This window comes from Homo sapiens, chromosome 15 (genome assembly GCF_000001405.40).
Source record: "Homo sapiens chromosome 15, GRCh38.p14 Primary Assembly".
Classification (NCBI taxonomy): Eukaryota; Metazoa; Chordata; class Mammalia; order Primates; family Hominidae; genus Homo; species Homo sapiens.
Window position 1 is genome coordinate 56,358,249 of NC_000015.10, and position 21,206 is coordinate 56,379,454.

The 21,206-nt window shown below is 36.0% G+C and overlaps 1 protein-coding gene across 31 annotated transcripts in view, besides 4 other annotated features; it reads left to right on the top strand.

Annotated features, from left to right (window-relative positions):
- Window positions 1–21,206, top strand: part of TEX9 (testis expressed 9) — a 216,038-nt gene that overhangs the window by 114,276 nt on the left and 80,556 nt on the right. For 15 of the 31 annotated variants that reach the window (NR_169562.1, NR_169561.1, NR_169560.1 and 12 more), the window contains exons 1-3: window positions 7,178–7,229; window positions 7,331–7,422; window positions 15,193–15,256. The exons of 4 other annotated variants lie outside the window; for them this stretch is intronic. Coding sequence is in view for 12 of the 27 variants with exons in the window: in XM_047432466.1 (XP_047288422.1) it covers window positions 7,203–7,229; window positions 7,331–7,422; window positions 15,193–15,256 (183 nt within the window). In the remaining 15 variants the exon portion in view is untranslated. Of the gene's footprint in view, window positions 1–7,177; window positions 7,230–7,330; window positions 7,646–9,759; window positions 9,805–15,192; window positions 15,257–20,928; window positions 20,990–21,206 lie in introns of those variants that run through there. 12 more of the 31 variants (NR_169563.1, NM_001286449.2, NM_001385045.1 and 9 more) reach the window with 6 other exon arrangements.
- Window positions 6,642–6,821: an enhancer, noted in NCBI's record as "active region_9451". NCBI's record gives its function as "activates an Ori minimal core promoter by ATAC-STARR-seq in GM12878 lymphoblastoid cells {active_cell/tissue: GM12878}" and the evidence as "EXISTENCE:reporter gene assay evidence [ECO:0000049][PMID:35858748]".
- Window positions 6,832–6,881: an enhancer, noted in NCBI's record as "active region_9452". NCBI's record gives its function as "activates an Ori minimal core promoter by ATAC-STARR-seq in GM12878 lymphoblastoid cells {active_cell/tissue: GM12878}" and the evidence as "EXISTENCE:reporter gene assay evidence [ECO:0000049][PMID:35858748]".
- Window positions 7,422–7,471: an enhancer, noted in NCBI's record as "active region_9453". NCBI's record gives its function as "activates an Ori minimal core promoter by ATAC-STARR-seq in GM12878 lymphoblastoid cells {active_cell/tissue: GM12878}" and the evidence as "EXISTENCE:reporter gene assay evidence [ECO:0000049][PMID:35858748]".
- Window positions 12,804–12,943: an enhancer, noted in NCBI's record as "active region_9454". NCBI's record gives its function as "activates an Ori minimal core promoter by ATAC-STARR-seq in GM12878 lymphoblastoid cells {active_cell/tissue: GM12878}" and the evidence as "EXISTENCE:reporter gene assay evidence [ECO:0000049][PMID:35858748]".

Here is a 21,206-nt window from a genome sequence, read left to right on the forward strand (position 1 = left end):
ATTTGTGGGGAAGAGATCTGGAGAATGAGATGTCAGGAGGACACATGGAAATTTCTCCTACTTTCTTCAAGTTCAGTAATGCATAGATAAGTTTTTTTTTTTTTTCCAGAATCTGGTCGTTGTGCAGTGGAAGGGTGTCCCAGATCATCTAGCTCACAATTTTGTTGAAGAAGAAAATCCCTTTTAACTTAAAAAAAAAAAGATTTAATTTTTTAGAAGTTTTACATTTGCAGAAAAACTGAGAATATCGTAGAGAGAGTTCCCATATACCCTGCACCTAGTTTTCCCTATTATTACGATCTTACATTAATATGGTTAAATTGTTGAAATTAGTAGACCATTACTGATACATTAACTGAAGTCCATAGTTTATTCAGAATTCCTTGTATTTTACTATGTCTTTTCCTATTCTAGGGTTTGGTCCAGTATGTCACTGATATGGTTAGGCTTTGTGTTCCCACCCAAACCTCATCTTGAATTGTAATCTCCATAATCCCCACGTGTTAAGAGAGAGACGTGGTGGGAGGTGATTGAATCATGGGAGTGGTGTCCCCCATGCTGTTCTCGTGATAGTGAGTGATGTCTCATGAGATCTGATGGTTTTATAAGTGTCTGACATTTCCTCTTTCACGTACTTGCTCTCTCTCCTGCCGCCACGTAAGACATGCCTGCTTCTCCTTCCGCCATGATTGTTAAGTTTCCTGAGGCCTCCCCAGCCATGCAGAACTTTGAGTCCATTAAACCTCTTTCCTTTATAAATTACCCAGTCTCAGGTATTTTTTATAGCAGTGTGAGAACAGACTAATATAATCACTTTACAAAGCTGTTATATCTCTTTAAGCTCCTCTTGGCTGTGACAGTTTCACAGCCTTGTTTTGGTTGACCTTGACAATTTTGAGGAGTATTGGTTGGATATTTTATAGGATACCCCTTTACTAGAAATTTTTATTGTGGTCAAATATACATAAAATTTACCATGTCAACCATATTTTAATTTGGTGGCATTAAATGTAATATATTCATAAAGTTGTGCAATGATTTAATAATCTTTATCCATTTTCAGAACTTTTTCATCATCTCAAACAGAAACTCTGTACTCATGAAAAAATAACTCCCTATTTTCCTCTCTCCCTAGTCCCTGGTAAACTCTGTTTTCTGTCTCTATGAATTAACCATTTCTAGGCACCTTAAATAAGTGGAATTATGCAATGTTTGTCCTTTTGTGTCTGGCTTATTTCACTTAGCAAAATGCTTTCAAGTTTCATTCATGTAGTAGCATGTCTCAGAATTTCATTTCTTTTTAAGGCTGAATATTATTGTATTGTCCATTCTATGTATACACAAATTTTGTTTTTATCATTTTATTAGTTACAGGAGAGTTTTATTTCTTCTTTTGGATTTTCTTTTTTAAAAAAATTTTCTTTATAGACATTCATGTCATCTATACACAAAGATGGTTTATTTCTTCCTTCCTTATCTGTATACTCCTTATTCCCTTTTATTGTCTTATTGCACTAGCTAGAACTTCAGATGTAATATTAAATAATAATGATGATAAAGGACATGTTTGTGTTGTTCCTGATCTTAGGGAGAAAGCATCCAATTTCATTAAGCTGTAGATATTTTGTGGAAGTTCTTTATCAACTTGAGGATATTTCCCTGTAGTCCTAGTTTTCTGAGAGTTTGTACCTTCAGGGGTGTTGGATTTTGTCAAATGCTTTTGCTGCATGAATTTATATGATCATATAATTTTTCTTCTTTATCCTCTTGATGTGCTGAATTCATTGATTGATTTTAGAATATTGAACCATCCTTGTATACTGAGAATAAATCCCACTCCATTGTGTTGCATAATTCTTTTTAGACATTGTTGGATTATATTGGCTAAAATTTTGTTAAGGGTTTAAAAATCTATATTCATGAGGGATATCAGCTTGTAGTTTTCCTATAATGTCTTTAACTGCTCTTAGTATTAGGGTAATGCTAGAGTCATGGAATGAGTTGGGAAGTGTTCCTTCTGCCTTTATTTTCCCAAAAAAGATTATGTAGAATTGTTATTTCTTCCTTAAATGTATGTTAGAATTCACCAGAGAAACCATCTGGGACTGGTGATTTCTTTCTTGGAAGGTTATTGACTCAATGTCCTTGCCTACTCAGATTATCTATTTCTCCTTGCATGAGTTTTGGTAGTTTGTATCTTTCAAGTAATTGGTCCATTTCATCTAATTTATTAAATGTTGGGGTATAGAGTTCATAGTATTCCTTTATTATCCTTTTAATTTTCATGGGACAATTGATGACTTATTTTCCATTTCTAATGTTGGTACTGTATTGTTTATATTTTTTAATTTTCTGTATATTATGATGTTTAGACATCTTTAAAAAATCCTTTCTGGCTTGGGAGAAACTGCTTCCTCCTGGGGCAAGCCAATTCTTAGCTAAGCAAAAGGGCTTAGCCAGGGAGCATGGCTTTGATATATAAAAAACTAATATGAAGCCATACCTCTTCTGTCTGGTCCATATACAACAGGCCTTCCTCTGTCTTAGCCATTGCAGAGCTATGTACCAGATAATTAAGGACAACCTTTATACTCCGGGGCCCTCTGAAATTATTCATAGTAGCCAATCCTAATGGGTTTACTCTACCTTGCTTTTCCTGTGGAAACTCCAATAGAGGCTCTAGTCCAGGTTTTTCTCTTCCTCCTGTTTTCTGCCTCCTGACTATCCCGAGGCTTCCCCATGTAACCCTGTATGGCATGGCATGCGTCCTATTTCTAGGACCTGTGAGTATAATAAATGTTGTTTTCCTCTCATGGCCACACCTGACTGACCATCACAGAAAATAACACAGAACAGGTTACTTGGATCTTCTCTTTTTCTTGGTTAGCACAGCTATAAGTTTATTGATTTTAACTAGATTGTGGTTTCTGTGATTTTCTCTATTGTTTCCCTGTTTCAGTTCCATTGATTTATGTTCTAATGTTTATTGTTACTTTTCTTTTGCTTTAAGTTTAATATTTTTCCTTTAGCTGCCTTGAAGGTAGACATTCAGAGTTTAGATTTTTCTTCTTTTCTAATATATGCATTGAATGCTAAGCACTCCAAGCACTGCTTTCATAACATTCCACAGGTTTTGATAAGTTATATTTCAAATTTTATTTAGTTCAAAATGTTTTTTTAATTCCTCTAGATATTTACTTGATCCATGTATTATTTAGAAGTATGAATTTAATTTGCAAATATTTTGTGGGTGTCCAGCTGTTTTGTTATTGATTTTTAGTTTAGTTTTATTGTGCTCTGGGACCACAATAAAATAGTTTGTATAATTTCGGTTATAGGTTAAAGTGTGCCACCTCCCCCTCCCTACCATATATTGAAGTCCTAACCCCCAGTACCTGTGAATATGGTCTTTACAGATGTAATCACGTTAGGATGAGGTCATTAGGGTGGCCCACATCCGATATTACTGGAGTCTTCATGAAAAGCAGGAATGCCATGCAAAAGCAGAAACACACAGGGGAAATGCTACATGATTATAGAGGCAGAGAGAGGTTGTAGTGATGCAGCTGCAAGCCAAGGAATGCCAAGAAGTGACAGCCACCATAGAAGCTAGAAAGAGGCAAAGAAAGAGTCTCCCCTGCAGGTTTCAAGCAAAACATAGTCCTGGTGATACTTCTAGCCTGGTTTTGGACTTCTAGCCTCCAGACCCATGAGACAATAAATTTCTGTTGTTTTAAGCCACTCACTTGGTGGTGCTTTATTACAGCTACCCTAAACTATATAATTTATATTCTTTTAAATTTATTAAAGTGTGTTATGGCTAGAATGTGTTCTAGCTTGGTGAATGTTCCATGCGACCTTGAGAAAAATGTGTATTCTGCTGTTATTGAAATGAGTATTCTATAAATGTCAATTAGATCAAGCTAATTGATGGTGCTGTCCAGAGCAACTCTTGCTGATTTTCTGCCTGCTTAACCTGTTAATTACTGAAGGAGTAGTATTGAAGTCTCCAAATATAATGATGGATTTGTCTATTTCTCTTTGCAAGTCCTACCAGTTTTTGCCTCATGCATTTTGACACTACTGTTAGGAGGATTTACACCAGGATTGTTCTATCCCCTTGGAGAATTGACCTCTATCATTAATGCTCCTCTTTGTCCCTGATAATTTTCCTTGTTCTGATGTCATCTTTGTTTGAAATTAATATAGCGACTCCAGCTTCCTTTTGATTAGTGCTAGCATAGTGTTCCTTTCTTTATCCCTCGATGTTGTAAATAGTTTATTTTTAAGATGTTTTAACAGCTTGAGTGATTTATTTCACATATCTATATTTACCCATATAAAGTGTACTATTAATTGGCTTTTAGTGTATTCACAGAGTTGTACACCATCAACACAATTGATTTTAGAATATTTTCACTAGCGCCCCCCAAACCCTGCAACTCCTTAGCTAACCCTCCATCATCTGCCAAGCCTAGACAACTACTAATCTACTTCTGTCACTATGGATTTGCCTATTGCGGACATTTCCTACAATATGTAGTCATATTGAAATAGAATCCTATAGTATGTGATCTTTTGTGAAAGAAATTAGATAATACTTGGTCTTTTGTGAATGGCTTCTTTCACTTAGCATAATATATTCAAGGTTCATCCATATTGTGGTATACATGTACTTCATTCTTTCTCATTTCTGAATAATATTCCATTGTATGAATATACCACTTTTTATTTAATTACTAATCAGTTTATGACCATTATGGGTTTGTTTTGCATTTTGGCTGTTATGAATAATCCTGACATAAACATTTGTACATATACTTTTCATGTGGGTGTGTTTTCATTTTCCTTGGGTGTATACCTAGCAGTGGTTGCTGGATTGTTTGGTAACTCTGTGTATAAACTATTGAGGAATTGCTAGACCATTTTCCACAGTGGCTGCACAATTTTCCCATTCCCACTAACAGTTTATGAGGGTTCAAGTTTCTCTACATCCTCCTCTACACGTTATTGTCCATCCTTTTTTTTTTTTTTGAGATGGAGTCTCCCTCTGTCACCCAGGCTGGAGTGCAGTGGTGCTATCTCGGCTCACTGCAACTTCTATCTCCCAGCATTTCACCATGTTGGCCAGGCTGGTCTCAAACTCTTGACCTCTGGTGATCTGCCCGCCTCAGCATCCCAAAGTGCTGGGATTACAGGTGTGAGCCACCGCGCCTGGCTATCCATCCTTTTGATTATCGCCATTCTAGTGGGTGTCAAGTGGCATTTCATTTTGGTTTTAATTTTCATTTCCCTGAGGACAATACTGAGCATCTTTTCATGTGCTTTTTGCCTACTTGTATATGTTCTTTGGAGAAATCCCTATTTCTTTGCCCATTTTTAACTTGGGTTGTCTTTTTTAAAAATTTTTTTAAATTGTTTTTCTTTTTTTTTTTGAGACAGGGTCTCACTCTGTGACCCAGGCTAGAGTGCAGTGGTGTGACCATGGCTCTTTGCAGCCTTGATCTCCCTGGCTCAAGTGATCCTCCCACCTCAGTCTCCTAGTAGTTGGGACTACAGGCATGTACCACTGGACCCAGCTAATTTTTATTTATCTATTTCCTTTTTTTTTTTTTGTAGAGATGGAGTCTTGCTGTGTTGCCTTGGCTGGTCTGGAACTCCTGGGCTCAAGTGATCCTCCTGACTTAGCCTCCAAAGTGCTCATATTACAGGCATGAGCCACTGCACCTACCTATTTTTGAATTTTAATACTTCTTTATATAGTCCAGACACAAGTTATTTATCAGATATATAATTTGCAAGAATTTCCCCTCTTCCTGTGGTCTTGTTACTTTATTTATGGTATCTTTTGAAACTAAAGGTTTTTAGTTTTGATAATGTCTAGTTTATCTATTTTTTTTTCCTTTTTTTTGTTTTTTTCTTGAGATGGAATTTCGCTCTTGTTGACCAGGTTGGAGCGCAATGGTGCAATCTCAGCTCACCGCAACCTCTGCCTCCCAGGTTCAAGCGATTCTCCTGCTTCAGCCTCCCCAGTAGCTGGGATTACAGGCATGAGCCACCACACCCGGCTAATTTTTTTTTTTTAGGAGTGGCGGGGTTTCTCCATATTGGTCAGGCTGGTCTTGAACTCCCAACCTCAGGTGATCCACCCGCCTTGGCCTCCCAAAGTGCTTGGATTACAGGCATGAGCCTCTGTGCCCAGCCTCTTTTTTCTTTTCTTTTTTTTTTTTTTTGCTACTGCTTTTGGTGTCATATCTAAGAATCCATCAAGGATTCTCAGAATTGTAATTCAAGGTCATAAAGATTTACACCAACAGTTTCTTTGAAGAGCTTTAGAGTTTTAGCTCCTAAGTTTAGGTCTTTGATACATTTTAATTTTTGTATATGGTGTGAAGTTAAGGGTCTAATTGCATTTGGATATCCAGTTGTCTCCCCATCTGTTGAAGACAATTATTTTCCCATTGAATGGTCTTGCACCCTTTCTAAAGATCAGATGACCATACATCATATCACGGTTTATTTTTGGATGTCAATTTTATTCCAAAACAATTGAAATTGTTAACCGCTTACGTGTTTCAGGCATGATCCTAAGCACGAATTCATTTGCTTCTCATAATAACTGTGAAGTGGGCACTATTCTCACTTCCATTTGACAAATGAAGTGGCCGATATACAGAGTGATTTGCCCAAGGCCATATAACTGGTAAGTGGCAGTGCCAGGATAATAATTTAGGTTGACTAACTTGAGAGCCTGAGTCTTAGCCATGCATGCTGTAAACAAAAATTAGAAATCAAAACTTCTGAATTCCACTGAAGAGCTCACTTTAAGCAAACGGGGTGAAGGTCGGATTAGCCACTAACGGTTTGAAAAGCACAACAGGGAGGGATTGCCTCACCAGCTTGCTTTCTATAGAGTAGCGGCAAAGGACCTGCCTGTTTTGGCTGAAACTCTTTCAACCCCCACAAGTTGAGAATTTGCACTAACTAAGTCGAATTTGCAGTTAGGAAGCCTTCCTGGGTTCCTGGGACAGCGCCGAGTGCTGCGAGCAAAGGCCGAGCCCGCTGCCAGAGGCTCGCGCCGCTCGCAGCACAGAACCTGAGAGTGGGAAGGCGTAGGCGCCCGGGCGGGAGGCAACCGGGATGTGGAAACTCTCGCGGGAAGATGCGTCGTTGCCTCGGTAACCGCGTCGCAGTCGCCGAAGATGGCGGGGCGAAGTCTGTGTCTCACGGTCAGTTCAACTCCAGGCTCCTGGGGAGCGTCTGGGTTCCGGCGACTAGGACGCCTAACTTCCTTTAACTTCGGGTCTGAAAGTCTGTGGCTCTTTTACAGAGAAGCAGCGTTCCAGGGACTCCGTTCCCGCCACCCGTTCAGCAACCCTCTACACCTGGACCCGACCTCCTCGCCTTGGAGGAAGAATATAAGTAAGAAATTCGGCGGTTGAACTTTTCCTTCTTTCTTTCATCTGAATGAGGCTGCTTACAAGTACTTTTTTCTGGAGACTGGCTGGATCTTCGGGACCACTCACTCTGCAGCATTCCCTTCTCGTCATCTCGTTCACCTGCCGTTTATCCTTTCTTTGTCTTTGATCTGAGTAGTTCGCCTGCGTATTAGAAGATATTTGAAGTGGGCGAAAATTTAGCCCAAGTAAGCATGTTGTTTAATTTAAAACGTAGCCCAAGTAAACAGCAAGATACTGTTGGAAGTTATTTGGGTAGCAGGAATTGCCACGAATAGTTAGTTCACTTGATAGTTTAGGTTATTTCGCTTAATATCAAGTTCATAGAGTTTACCTTGTGTAAATTTCCTTTAGGTTGGTTTCTAAATTGAAAGGATGCTTCCCACTGCAATCAGAATTACCATTCTCGTTCAAATATTCCTTTTCTTATCTGTTCTCAGTGTAATTACAACTATCCTGACAACGGTGCTTTCATTCTTGGCCCATTCTACTCCTCATCCCCAAGTTTTCACACAGCAGCCAGTGTAATCTTTTAATTTGATCTACCATGCCTTTGCTTAAAATTCTACAGTAGTTTCCTGTTGCATTTCAAAAGCTCTGATCGATGTGGCTCCTCCTGCCTCCTCTATTTGATCTTATTCCCTCTTCCCCTTTTCCCCCTAAAACTCTCCAGCTTCACTGGCCTTTTAGTTCCAAAAACTCTTCCAGGTTTTCTTTCTATCTCAGGAAAGAGACAGTCACACACGCCTTCAACCTGTAATGTGAGTGGCCTTCCTTGACCATGCTAAGTAGGCTCCCTTGTTGGTCTTTTTCATTGTCTCAGTGATTTTTCTTTCTAATTAGCATAATTTGTTACAATAAATTCATTTGTGAATTTCCTTTTTGTCTGTCTCCACTGGACTGTAAGTTCCAAGGGCAGAGGCGATGTCTGTTTTATTTGCCATCATACATACCCTTATAAAAAAGTGCCTTTTAACAACTCCCTTCCGTTTTAATATAAAATAACTAGATTAAAATTTGGAAATAGTTGGCAGTTTGTATCAGAGGGTTAAACTAGAGTTATCGTATGATCTACATATGATCTATAAGCATATTTGAAATTAAAACTGAAAGGTACTGTGTTTAGGTGAACTATACACAGACCAATTTACCACAGCAAGTAGGAAGATAATCATATCTTCTTCTCTCTGATGAAATGGGCCGATTATCCCAGTTCAAAAGTGTACTTAAGCAAATTAATCTGTTTTCTATATATAGTTCTTTATCAGCTATGCCTCAATCAAAACGGTTATTTTCATTATCATTAACCATATAGTATTAAATACCTGGATTAGGTTTATTTGTTCAGTTATTTGAGAGTGTATTTTGCACCTGGTTCTGGTGCATCCTTAGGGATACAGTCCTGCTTAAAATGAGAAATATACAGGGACTATTATTGTATTCTAGCACGAGTTACTTTATAAAACGAGATAGCTAAACAGTATTATATGGTGGCCAGTTGTTACTTGTTCTGTTATCTGTACTCTGAGTTGTGCACATCTGAAGCATATGAACAGAGTAACTCCCTACACTACCTGAATCTTCTAGAATACTTCTGTGTCATGTAGAAGAGTAAAATGTCTGGCCATCCCTGTAAGCAAGAATATGAAATTATAACAGTATGGTATCTGTTTTGCCACCTGTTGTCTTGGCATTGATCATTAGAATGCTACTTCCCAGGGACCTCAATCCAAAACCTTTTGCAGTTCTGCTTCTGTTGGAGGAAATAATCACTGTCCGAAAGGATAGACTAAGGAAGATGCTAATCGCTCAAGTGGATAGATTTTTCAAGCTTCATTCCTGTATTATAATACCAGATAGCTAAACAATAAGATAACATAATAACTGGTAGGGCAAGCCCCCTCATAAATCGCAATTACATTGGATTTACAGATTAATTTGTAGAGAACTGACTTATTTATGCTATTGAATTTTCCACGAATATGATACTTCTCCATTTATGGGTTTTTACCTTTAATAGTGTTTTATCATTTTACTACATAAAATTCTTGCGTATATAATTTGCTTCAAGGTACTGAATAGTTGCTATATAATAAGTGGAATTTTTTCTATTTTCTAATTGGTTATAAATGTAGAATTTTTAGATGTTGATGCTACATCTGCGTTTATATACACACAGATCTTCAGTCCTGCTGAACTCTCTTATTCATTCTGTGAATTCCCTTGGATTTTTGATGAAGACAATTATATGCAAATTTTGATCATTTTGTCCCTTGATAATTCTCCTACATTCTCTCTTTTTCTCTGTTTAGGACTTCCCGTGTGATATGGAATAGAAAAAGTGATGGTGAGCTTCCTTGTTTATGATTTTGAGAAGCCCACTTTTAATAATCACTACATTTGAGGTTTGCTCTAGGGTTTTGGTAGATTCTTTTTATTATGTTTAAAATTCTTCCCCTTAATTCCTAATTTGAATGAGTGTTAAATGTATCAAAACTTATTTTTTCCCTAATTAATTCAGCTGTTGGTATGTTCTTTTTCCCTCCTTTAATGTTTTAACATACTGAACTACAAAGGCAGGTTTCTTGTTTTCCTTTAAAGACTGCTAGATTTGATTGCTATAATTTTATGTAGGTTTTTTGCATCTATGAACAAAAGTGAAATGGGTGTTGTAGTTTTTCTCTACTTCTTTTCCTTTCTGTTTTTGATATCAGTATCATTCTGTCTGTATGAAAGAAGCCGAATAGTTTTCCTTTTTTGATTCTTTTCTTGGAAGCTTTTTATAATTAGAGATTTTCTGCCCTTTGATTAAAATTGTGAAACTGTCTGAGTCTAGTGTTCTTTTATTCAAGGGGATTCTTTTTGTCTATGCATTTAGCTTCTTTAATGATTAGATGTACTATTTCTAGAATAGTTTTTGGTTATTTCTAAAATAATTTTTTGTTCTAGAAAAGTGTTCATATCATGTATGTTTTAAAATACATTAGCATAAACTGAGTCTATGGTGGTATGTTTGAAATCTTGACTGTATCCATAACCATGTACACCCCTCCTTTTGGTAGCTTTCCAATATTGTTTATTTTTGTCTTTTTCTTTTTCTATCAAGCTTCCTGGGAGATTTATCTGTTTTATTGGTCTTTTCAGAGAACCAGCTTTGGTTTTCTTGCTAATCTGTGCTATTTTAAAATTTCATTAATCTTTACAGAAATAAAGACAAATGATCTCTTCTAACTGGGGTGGATTAATTTTTTGTTTTTTAGTTTATTTACCTCATTTATTGTTTTTCTTATTTCTTAATAAATATATTTAGTCTTTAAATTTCTCTCCAACTGTAGGTTAACTATATTCCAGGACTTGTTTTGATGTATATTTCTTTTATGGTTATTTAGTTCTAAATATTATACGATTTTCATAGTAATTATTTAGAAGTGTGTTTTTTAGTTTGCAAGCACATAGGGTTGTTTGTTTACTGTTGTCTAGTTTTTATTTTTCTGAGTATGTATGTGACAAGGTCTTGCTCTGATGTCCAGGCTGGAGTGCAGTGGTGTGATTATGGCTCATTGCAGCTTCCACCTCCTGGGCTCAAGAGTTCTCCCACCCCAGCCTCCCGAGGAGCTGGGACTACAGGCGCATGGCACCATGCCATGCTAATTTTTTTTTTTTTTTGAGACAGGGTCTCACCCTGTTGCCCAGACTGGAGTGCAATGGTGTGATCTCAGCCCACTGCAACCTTCATCTCCCAGGCTCCTGAGTAGCTGGGACTACAGGCATGTGCTAACATGCCTGGCTAATTTTTGTATTATATTTTTTGTAGTGATGGGGTTTCGTCATGTTGCCCAGGCTGGTCTTTAACTCCTGGTCTCAAATGATCCACCTTCCTCGGCTTCCCAAAGTGCTGGTATTACAGGCCCAGCCTAGTTTATTTTAAATTGCATTATGATTAGAGAATTGATGTGATATTAAGTTTTTAAATGTATTGAGACTTATTTGTGGCCAAGTGCTTGTTCACTTTTTGTAAAAGTTCTATGCGTTCTTTGATAGAAAATGTATTTATTATTTGTTGGCTAATCTGTTTTATATTTGTTCTTCATGACATCGGTATCCTCACCTTTTTTCTTGTTGCAGCTTTATTGGTTTCTGTTAGAAGTGTATTAAAAATCATCAATTATAATTATAGTTTAAAAAAATTCCTTATAATGTGGCCATTTTTGTTTGGGAATATCTTGTTTGACTTATTTAAATCTTCTTGATTCATTATTATGCAGTGTCTATCTTTCTTCATCCCTTTATGTTCAAACTTTGTATGTCATTTATCAGTAAGAGCATTCTTTTTATAACCAGTCTGATAATTTCTGCCTATTAATAAGTGAATTTAATATATTTACATTATTACATAACTTGAAGTTGTCTTAGCCACCTTATTTTTTATATTTTCTATTATGTCTTGTCTTTGGTTCTTGTCTGTCTTCTGCTGGATTGAATGGGTTTTCATTATGTCTTTATTTTTAGTGATGTGGAAAGACGTTAGAATGCTTTAACTTGGTGTCCTCTGTCTTTTAAATTAGATAATATTTTACTTTGTTGTTTTGAATACACCCACACCCAGTTAATCATCAATTTTTTTATAGTCTGTACTAATTTAGATTTATCATGTTTTCAGATATCTTCATAATTCTTTTTTTCCAGATTCAATTTCCTCCTTCCTGAAGTGTAGACCCTTTATTACTTTTTGTGAAAACCTGAGTCTTAAACTCTCCAGTCTTTTTGAAAATTGTTACTTTGCATTTATTCTTCAATTACAGTTTATCTGAATGTAATTCTAGATGGCCAGCTTTTCCTTCTCAGCCCATTAAAGATATCCTTATATTGTCTGTTGGTAATATAAGGATAGAAATGTTAGAATGTCAGAAATGTTAATGAGCCATCTGCTGTCAGCTTTTTAGATAATTATGCTGGTAGACTATTTTTCTCTGTTGTTTTGAAATAATGATTTGGTAGTTTAGGGAGTACTCTCTTTAAAATTCTGTATTTTCACTGTGATGTATACACAGGTGGATTTGTTTTCTTTATTCTTCATGAGATCCATGTCTTCAGTTTGGGAAATTCTCAGCATTAGCTCTTGAAATACTGTCATTCTCTCCTCTTGGGATTTCTTTTTTTCTCTTTTGGAGACAGAGCCTTGCTCTGTTGCCCAGGCTGGAGTGGCAGTGGCACGATCTTGGCTCACTGCAACCTCCGCCTCCCAGGTTCAAGCGATTCTCATTCCTCAGCCTCCCCAGTAGCTGAGATTACAGGCATGCAGCACCACACCTGGCTAATTTTTGTATTTTTAGTAGAGCCGGGGTTTCGCTATGTTGGCCAGGCTGGTCTCCTGGCCTCAAGTGATCCTCCCTCCACCTCCCACTGTGCTGGGATTACAGATGTGAGCCACTGCACCCAGGCCTCTCTGGGATTTCTTTTATAACTTCTGTTAAGTAGGAACATAACATCTGTCTTCAATGGATGTTAACCTGTCTTTTGTGTTTTTATCCCCTTGTTTTCTGTATCTCCTTGTAGGTGATTTATTTATATCTGTCTTCTAATTCACTCATTCCTTCTATGCCCATTATGCTGTTCAACATATCTGTCAAATTTCCTTGAGTTCTTAATTTCAGTGACTGTGTTTTTCATTTATGTAATTTATATTTGGATCTTTTTCAAATTCAGCATTCTTTTATGATAAAATCTGGCTCTTGCCTAATGTTTTTCTAAGTGCATTTTTTTTTTCCAAATTAATGCTAATTTTAAAATCTTTTTTTAATTGTTATATTATCTCTTGTTCTTATAGTATAAATTTTCCCTTTCCTCACATCTGCTGATTCTCTCTTTCAGTGGCTTGTTTCTTTATGCAATTTGTTACCTTTCTGAAGTCATCTTTAGCAGTTTGCTTTTTGAGAGAGTCCTATATATTCTAGATGAGTAAATGTTCCTATAGGGTGGTTTTCAATTTACCTTTACTAGTTTCGAGTTTTGATTGATTCCACGTCAGCTTTCTTCTATTTTAAAGTTTTTCCATGGTGTCCTTGTATCACCTAGATAAGATGAATTTGGACTTCCCTCTTGTTTGTTTTAATTACTCACAAGAGAATCTTTTCTACCTGTGGTTCTAGTTTCATTTCTGCTCACCTAAGGTTGTGGGTAGAATTTTTGTAGTCTGTGTTTCACAGGTGTATCCCTTCATGACTCACATACATCAGCTTCTAGCTTTTAAGCTATTTTGGCTTCTGTTCCTGTTTGTTGCTCTCACTTTGAATTGCTGCTTTATTCTTAGTACCAGGGCATTTCCCTTGCCTGAGTTTGAGCTTAGCAATATTTCCTCCATTACATTTTATCTGGCATTTCCATGGATTTAGAGTAGCATAGTCTTCTCAGTCATCTTGGTCCACTATATTAATTGGAAACTTAATCCTTGTGATTAAGTCCTTGTTAGGGAAATTTGAAAAATCAGGTAATGGCACTTTAAAGGCACCTTTAAGTCTTTCTTAGATATTTTTCTTTTGACCAGGTAATCCTAAGATATAAAAATATTTCTTAAAGCTTCAGACTGTTAAAGGATATGGTACTAATCTCCCCCCCTTTTTTTTTCCCTGGGGGTGGAGATGGTGTTTTGTGTTACTTCTGAATCCCATGTCTAAGAAAAACAAGATATCTAATTTTTAAAATCCTTAACATGTCTCCTTCACAAAACCTCAGAAGATCCTAGGTGGTCTAGAAATGTGACATCTCAACAGGAGAAAAAAGTTATATGCTTTTGAATATATTTATTATGGTGTTAACCTTTAAAAGTGAAAAGGGGACTTAACAATAGGGACAGAGTTCAGTACATTATCTTAATTGCAATTTAATCGTATAGCAGTTTAACATGCTTCTAAAGATTACGTGAAGATAGATATTCCTTTTATATTGCTGTGGGAAAACAGTACAAAATTGTGTGTATGCTATAGATGAAAATTGGAAGGGAATATTAAAAATAAAAATGGATGGTGGTGGTAGGATTATGGGCAGTTTTTCGTTTAAAAACAATTTTTTTCAATAATATTGTCATCCTTGCAGTCTTAATATAGGACCAAGTAAATAGTATTTCTATTCTTGCTAGATTCCAAGTAGAATGAAAAATCATAATTAAAAAAGGAGTGACAGGTAGAGGTCAAAATAGTCACCTTTATTTCCGAGGAAGCTTGATATTAAAGTATGTATCTGAGGTGTGAGCCACGTTGGGTCTGCTCACTAAACCTCACATTTAGCTCCCCAGTTATAGCAATACCCCAAACCAGAGCAGGTCTCCCCCATACCGTGCCCACTTCTGCCCACATTAGAGCAGGGCCTGTCTCTGGAGAAGCAAGGTTAGAATTTGCATTCTTTGCAGGTAGGCTAATAACGAGGAGGTGGTGAGTGGAACAGAGTTGAACTCACCCAGCTTATTCTTCCCAAATATATTAGATAAGTTACGTCACTTGAAATTAATAGAGGGCCACAGAAAGGCTAATACTTAGTGTTTGAGTTCCTACTACAAGGAAGGAGGAATCATGGGGAGTTGAGGATAAGTTCTTAATGGCTGTGTTCATTTTAGAGTAAGAATGCCATATGTATATTTTGGCATTTGTTGATTACGTCACTTGATAACGTGTAATTGCTGAAGTTTATTTTTTATTTTTGTTAAGATCTTCAGTATATCCCAATTATTTTCTGCTTTTAGGCGTTTAAATGCAGAATTGCAGGCAAAAACAGCTGACGTGGTTCAACAAGCTAAGGAAATAATAGTAAGTATATGTACAATTATTAATAATTCTATATAAATGCTAGTTTTTTATCTTTTTCATTTGATATATGACATATATACAAAACACTAGCCAAAGCATGTGTGTTCAGTTCAATGAATTATTACAAATTGAACATGAATATATATGCATAGGTATAGGAATGTATATATGTATATGTTTTTAGTAAGCACACATTTTCTAAAAGCCACTGAAAAAGTACTTTCCATTTAGATTCTCCAGTCATCTAAATTCTCATTATAAATTCTCATTATTAATTGATAGAATAGAGCAACTCTCCTTAGAGGAGTAGTCTACTTTAAAACTTTTATCAGTTCTTAGTTAATTTTGATTCTTACTTTCTATCCTCCCTATGCCCCAAAATGGAGTTGATGGAAGCAGGGAAGGAAACCTAGGCAATATTTTATCTTCATGCCTTATACAAATCCATGATTATTTGTTAGTTTAGGAATAAGAAATGTATCATATATAACATTTCAAGTAATATATTTTGATAATGGTTACAGATTTGTATTTTATAATTTATAATTAGATGTTTTACTAAAAATATTTATAATTAAATTTATACTTATATGTTTTACTAATTTATAATTAAATGTTTTACTACAAATATTTTTATTTCATCTTTTAGTTTTTGCCAGTGTCTGAAAAGCAGGAAAATACTTGTACAAAAGGACCCCACGTTATAGTAGAATGACAGATTCATTACGTTTTCTACTCAGAGAGCCCTGTAAAAAGAATCTCCCCCTGCAAATAAAAAACAGAATAGAAAACTGGGATAAGCTAGGAAAGGGGTTGGGGAATGGATTCCTACCCCTGCAGAAGCAAACAATATAAGGTTTCTCATATTTAATTTTTATTTACTCACTTTCTCTTTTTAAAATTTTTAATGTTTGTGGTTACATAGTAAGTGTTTATGGGGTAAATGAGATATTTTGATACAGGCATGCATTGTGTAATAATCACATCATGGAAAATGGGGTATCCATCCCCTCAAGTATTTATCCTTTGTGTTACAAAAAATCCAATTATACTATTTTAGTTAATTTAAAATGTACAATTAAATGATTTTGACTATAATAAACATGTTGTGCTGTCAAATACTAGGTACTATTCATTCTTTCTGACTATATATTTTTTTACCTATTAACCATCCTTATCTCCCACCCCTGCATCCCCCATTACCCTTCCCAGTCTCTGATAACCATTCTTCAACTCTCTATCTCCATATGTTAAGTTGTTTTGATTTTCAGATCCCACAAATAAGTGAGAGCATGTGAAGTTTGTCTTTTTGTGCCTGGCTTATTTCACTCAATGACTTCCAGTTACATCCATGTTGTTGCAAGTGACAGGGCCTCATTATTTTTTATGGCTGAATAGTACTCCATTGTGTATATGTATCACATTTTATTTATCGATTCATCTGTTAGTGGACACTTTGGTTGCTTCCAGATCTTGGCTATTGTGAACAGTGCTGCAACAAACATGGAAGTGCAGATATCTCTTTGATATATTGATTTCTGGGTCAAATGGTATTTCTAGTTCTAGATCCCTGAGGAATCGCCACACTGACTTCCACAGTGGTTGAACTAGTTTACAGTCCCACCAACAGTGTAAAAGTGTTCCTATTTCTCCACATCCTCTCCAGCAGCTGTTGTTTCCTGACTTTTTAATGATTGCCATTCTAACTGGTGTGAGATGGTATCTCATTGTGGTTTTGATTTGCATTTCTCTGATAGCCAGTGATGGTGAGCATTTTTTCATGTGTTTTTTGGCCGCATAAATGTCTTCTTTTGAGAAGTGTCTGTTCATTTCCTTTGCCCACTTTTTGATGGGGTTGTTTGTTTTTTTCTTGTAAATTTGTTTGAGTTCATTGTAGATTCTGGATATTAGCCCTTTGTCAGATGAGTAGGTTGCGAAAATTTTCTCCCATTTTGTAGGTTGCCTGTTCACTCTGACGGTAGTTTCTTTTGCTGTGCAGAAGCTCTTTAGTTTAATTAGATCCCATTTGTCAATTTTGTCTTTTGTTGCCATTGCTTTTGGTGTTTTAGACATGAAGTCCTTGCCCATGCCTATGTCCTGAATGGTAATGCCTAAGTTTTCTTCTAGGGTTTTTATGGTTTTAGGTGTAACGTTTAAGTCTTTAATCCATCTTGAATTAATTTTTGTATAAGGTGTAAGGAAGGGATCCAGTTTCAGCTTATACCCAAAGGACTATAAATCATGCTGCTATAAAGACACATGCACACATATGTTTATTGCGGCACTATTCACAATAGCAAAGACTTGGAACCAACCCAAATGTCCAACAATGATAGACTGGATTAAGAAAATGTGGCACATATACACCATGGAATACTATGCAGCCATAAAAAATGATGAGTTCATGTCCTTTGTAGGGACATGGATGAAATTGGAAATCATCATTCTCAGTAAACTATCACAAGAACAAAAAACCAATTGCTGCATATTCTCACTCATAGGTGGGAATTGAACGATGAGAACACGTGGACACAGGAAGGGGAACATCACACACTGGGGACTCTTGTGGGGTCGGGGGAGGGGGGAGGGATAGCTTTAGGAGATATACCTAATGCTAAATGACGAGTTAATGGGTGCAGCACACCAGCATGGCACATGTATACATATGTAACTAACCTGCACATTGTGCACATGTACCCTAAAACTTAAAGTATAATAATAATAAAATAAAAAAAAGATATATTGATTTCCCCTCTTTTGGACCTATACGCAGCAGTGGGATTGCTGGATCATATGATAACTTTAGTTTTTTGAGGAACCTCCAAACTGTTTCCTTTGTAGTTGTACTAATTTACATTCCCACCAACAGTGTACTAGGGTTCCCTTTCTCTACATCCTTACCAGCATTTGTTATTGCCTGATTGCCTGTCTTTTGGATATAAGCCATTTTATCAGAGTTGAGATGATATTGTAGTTTTGATTTGCATTTCTTTGATGATCATTGATGTTGAACACCTTTTTTTATGCCTGTTTGCCATGTGTGTGTTTTTCTTGAGAAATGTCTATTCAGATCTTTTGCTCATTTTTAAATTGGATTATTAGATTATTAGATTTTTTTTCCTATAGAGTTGTTTGAGCTCCCTATATTTTCTACCCTTGTCGATGGGTAGTTTGAAAATATTTTCTCCCATTCTGTGGGTTGTCTCTTTACTTTATTGTTTCCTTCACTGTGCAGAAGCTTTTTAACTTTATGTGATCCCATTTGTCCATTTTTGCTTTGGTGACTTTTGCTTGTGGTGTATTACTCAAGAAATCTTTGTCTACTCCAATGTCCTGGAGAGTTTCCCCAATGTTTTCTTATAGTAATTTCATAGTTTTGAGATCTTAGATTTAAGTCTTCAATACATTTTGATTTGATACTTGTATATGGCAAGAGGTAGGGGTCTAGTCTTCTTCTTCTGCATGTGGATATTCCGTTTTCCCAGCACCATTTATTGAAGAGACTGTCTTTTATCCAGTGTATGTTCTTGGCAACCTTGTCAAAAATGAGTTCACTGTAGGTATATGGATTTGTTTCTGGATTTTCTCTATTCTGTTCCATTGGTCTGTGTGTCTGTTTTTATGCCAGTACTCAGATGTTTTGGTTACTATAGCACCATAGTATAATTTGAAGCCAGGTAATGTGATTTCTCAAGTTTTGTTCTTTTTGCTTAGGGTAGCTTTGGCTATTCTGAGTCTGTTGTGGTTCCATATAAATTTTAGGATTGTTTTTTCTATTTCTGTGAAAATGCGATTGGTATTTTGCAAGGGGTTGCCTTGAATCTGTAGATTGCTTTGGGTAGTATGGACATTTTAACAATATTGATTTTTCTAATCCATGAACTGGAATATCTTTCCATTTTTTTGTGTCCTCTTCAATTTCTTGCATTGATGTTTTATAGTTTTTGTTGTAGAGATCTGTTACTGCTTTGGTTATGTTAACTCCTAGGTATTTTATTTGTGGCTACTGTAAATGGGATTACTTTTTTATTTATTTTTTAGATTGTTGACATACAGACACACTACTGATTTTTGTATGTTGATCTTGTATCCTGCAACTTTACTGAGTTTATCATTTCTAATAGTTTTTGGTGGAGTCTTTAGGTTTTTCCAAATATAAGAGCATATCATCTGTAAATGAGGTTAATTTGACTTCTTCCTTCTGATTTGGATGCCCTTTATTTCTTTATCTTGTCTGATTGCTCTAGTTAGGACATTGAGTACTATGTTGAATAACAGTGGTGAAAGTAGGCCAGATCTTAAAGGAAAGACGGTCAGTTTTTCCCATTCGGTATGATACTAGCTGTGGGTCTGTCATATATGGCTTTTATTATATTGAGGTCTGTTCCTTTTATACTCATGTTTTGAAGTGTGTTTACCATGAAGGGATGTTGAACTTTATCAAATGCTTTTCCAGGATCAGTTGAAATGATCATATGGTTTTTGTCCTTCATTCTGTTGATATGATATATCACATTGATTGATTTGTGTATGTTGAACCATCCTTGCATCCCTGGGGTAAATCCCACATGGTCATGACAAATGGTCTTTTTAATATTCAGCAAACTGAATTCTGTTTGCTAGTATTTTTTGAGGATTTTTGCATCAATATTCGTTAGAGATATTGGCATGTAGTTTTCTTTTTTTGATGTGTCTTTGGTTTTGGTTTCAGGGTAATACTAGCCTCATAAAATGAGTTTGGAAGTATTCCCTCCTCCTCCAATTTTTGGAATAGTTTGAGTTGGTTTGGTATTAGTTCTTCTTTAAATGTTCGATAGAATTCGCAGTGCAGCCATCAGGTCCTGGGCTTTTCTTTACTGGGAAAATTTTTTATTGTGGCTTCAGTCTTGTTACTTATTATTGTTCTGTTTAGTTTTGGATTTCTTCATGGTTCAATCTTGGTGGGTTGTATGTATGTGTCTAGGAATTTATCTGTTTCCTCTAGATTTTCCTATTTATTGGCGTATAGTTGCTCATAGTAGCCACTAATGAGCCTTTGAATTTCTGCATTGTCAGTTGTAATGCCTCCTTTTTAATTTCATATTTTATTTATTTGGGTCATCTCCCTTATTTTGTTAGTCTGTTAATTTTGCTCATCTTTAAAAAAAACCAACTTTTTGTTTCATTGATCTTTTCTTTATTTCAAATTCATTTATTTTTGCTCTGATCTTCATTTCTTTTCTTCTACTAATTTTGGTTTGGTTTGTTCTTGCTTTTCTGGTTCTTTAAGATGCATTGCTGGCTGGATGTGGTGGCTGATAGCTGTAATCCCAGCACTTTGGGAGGCCAAGGCACGTGACTCACTTGAACCCAGAAGTTTGAGACCAGCCTGGGCAACATGGTGAAACTCCATCTCTAGGAAAAATACAAATTAGTCAGATGTGGTGGTGCACGCCTGTAGTCCCAACTACTTGAGGGGCTGAGGAGGGAGGATTGTTGAGCCCAGGAAGGTCTAGGCTGTAGTGAGCCATGATCATGCCACTGCACTACAGCCTGGGCAACAGAGTTTCTCTCTATCTCAAAGAAACAAAAAAAAAAAAAGAAAGAAAGAAAAAAAAAGAAAAGAAAGAAAGAAAAAGAAAAGATGCATTGCTAAGTCATTTATTTGAAGTTTTTGTTCTTTTTTGTTGTAGGCACTTACAGCTGCATAAATTTCCCTCTCAGTACTGCTTTCACTGTATCCCATAGATCTTGGTATGTTGTGTTTTCATTATCATTTGTTTCAAGAAATTTCTCAGTTTCCTTCTTAGTTTCTTCATTGACCCATTGGTAATTTAGGTGCATATCATCTAATTTCTATGTCTTTGTATAGTTTCCAAAGTTCTGGTTATTAATTTCTAGTTTTATTCCATGTGATCAGAGAAGATGCTTGATATTATTTCAGTTTTTAAAATATTTTACAACTTGTTTT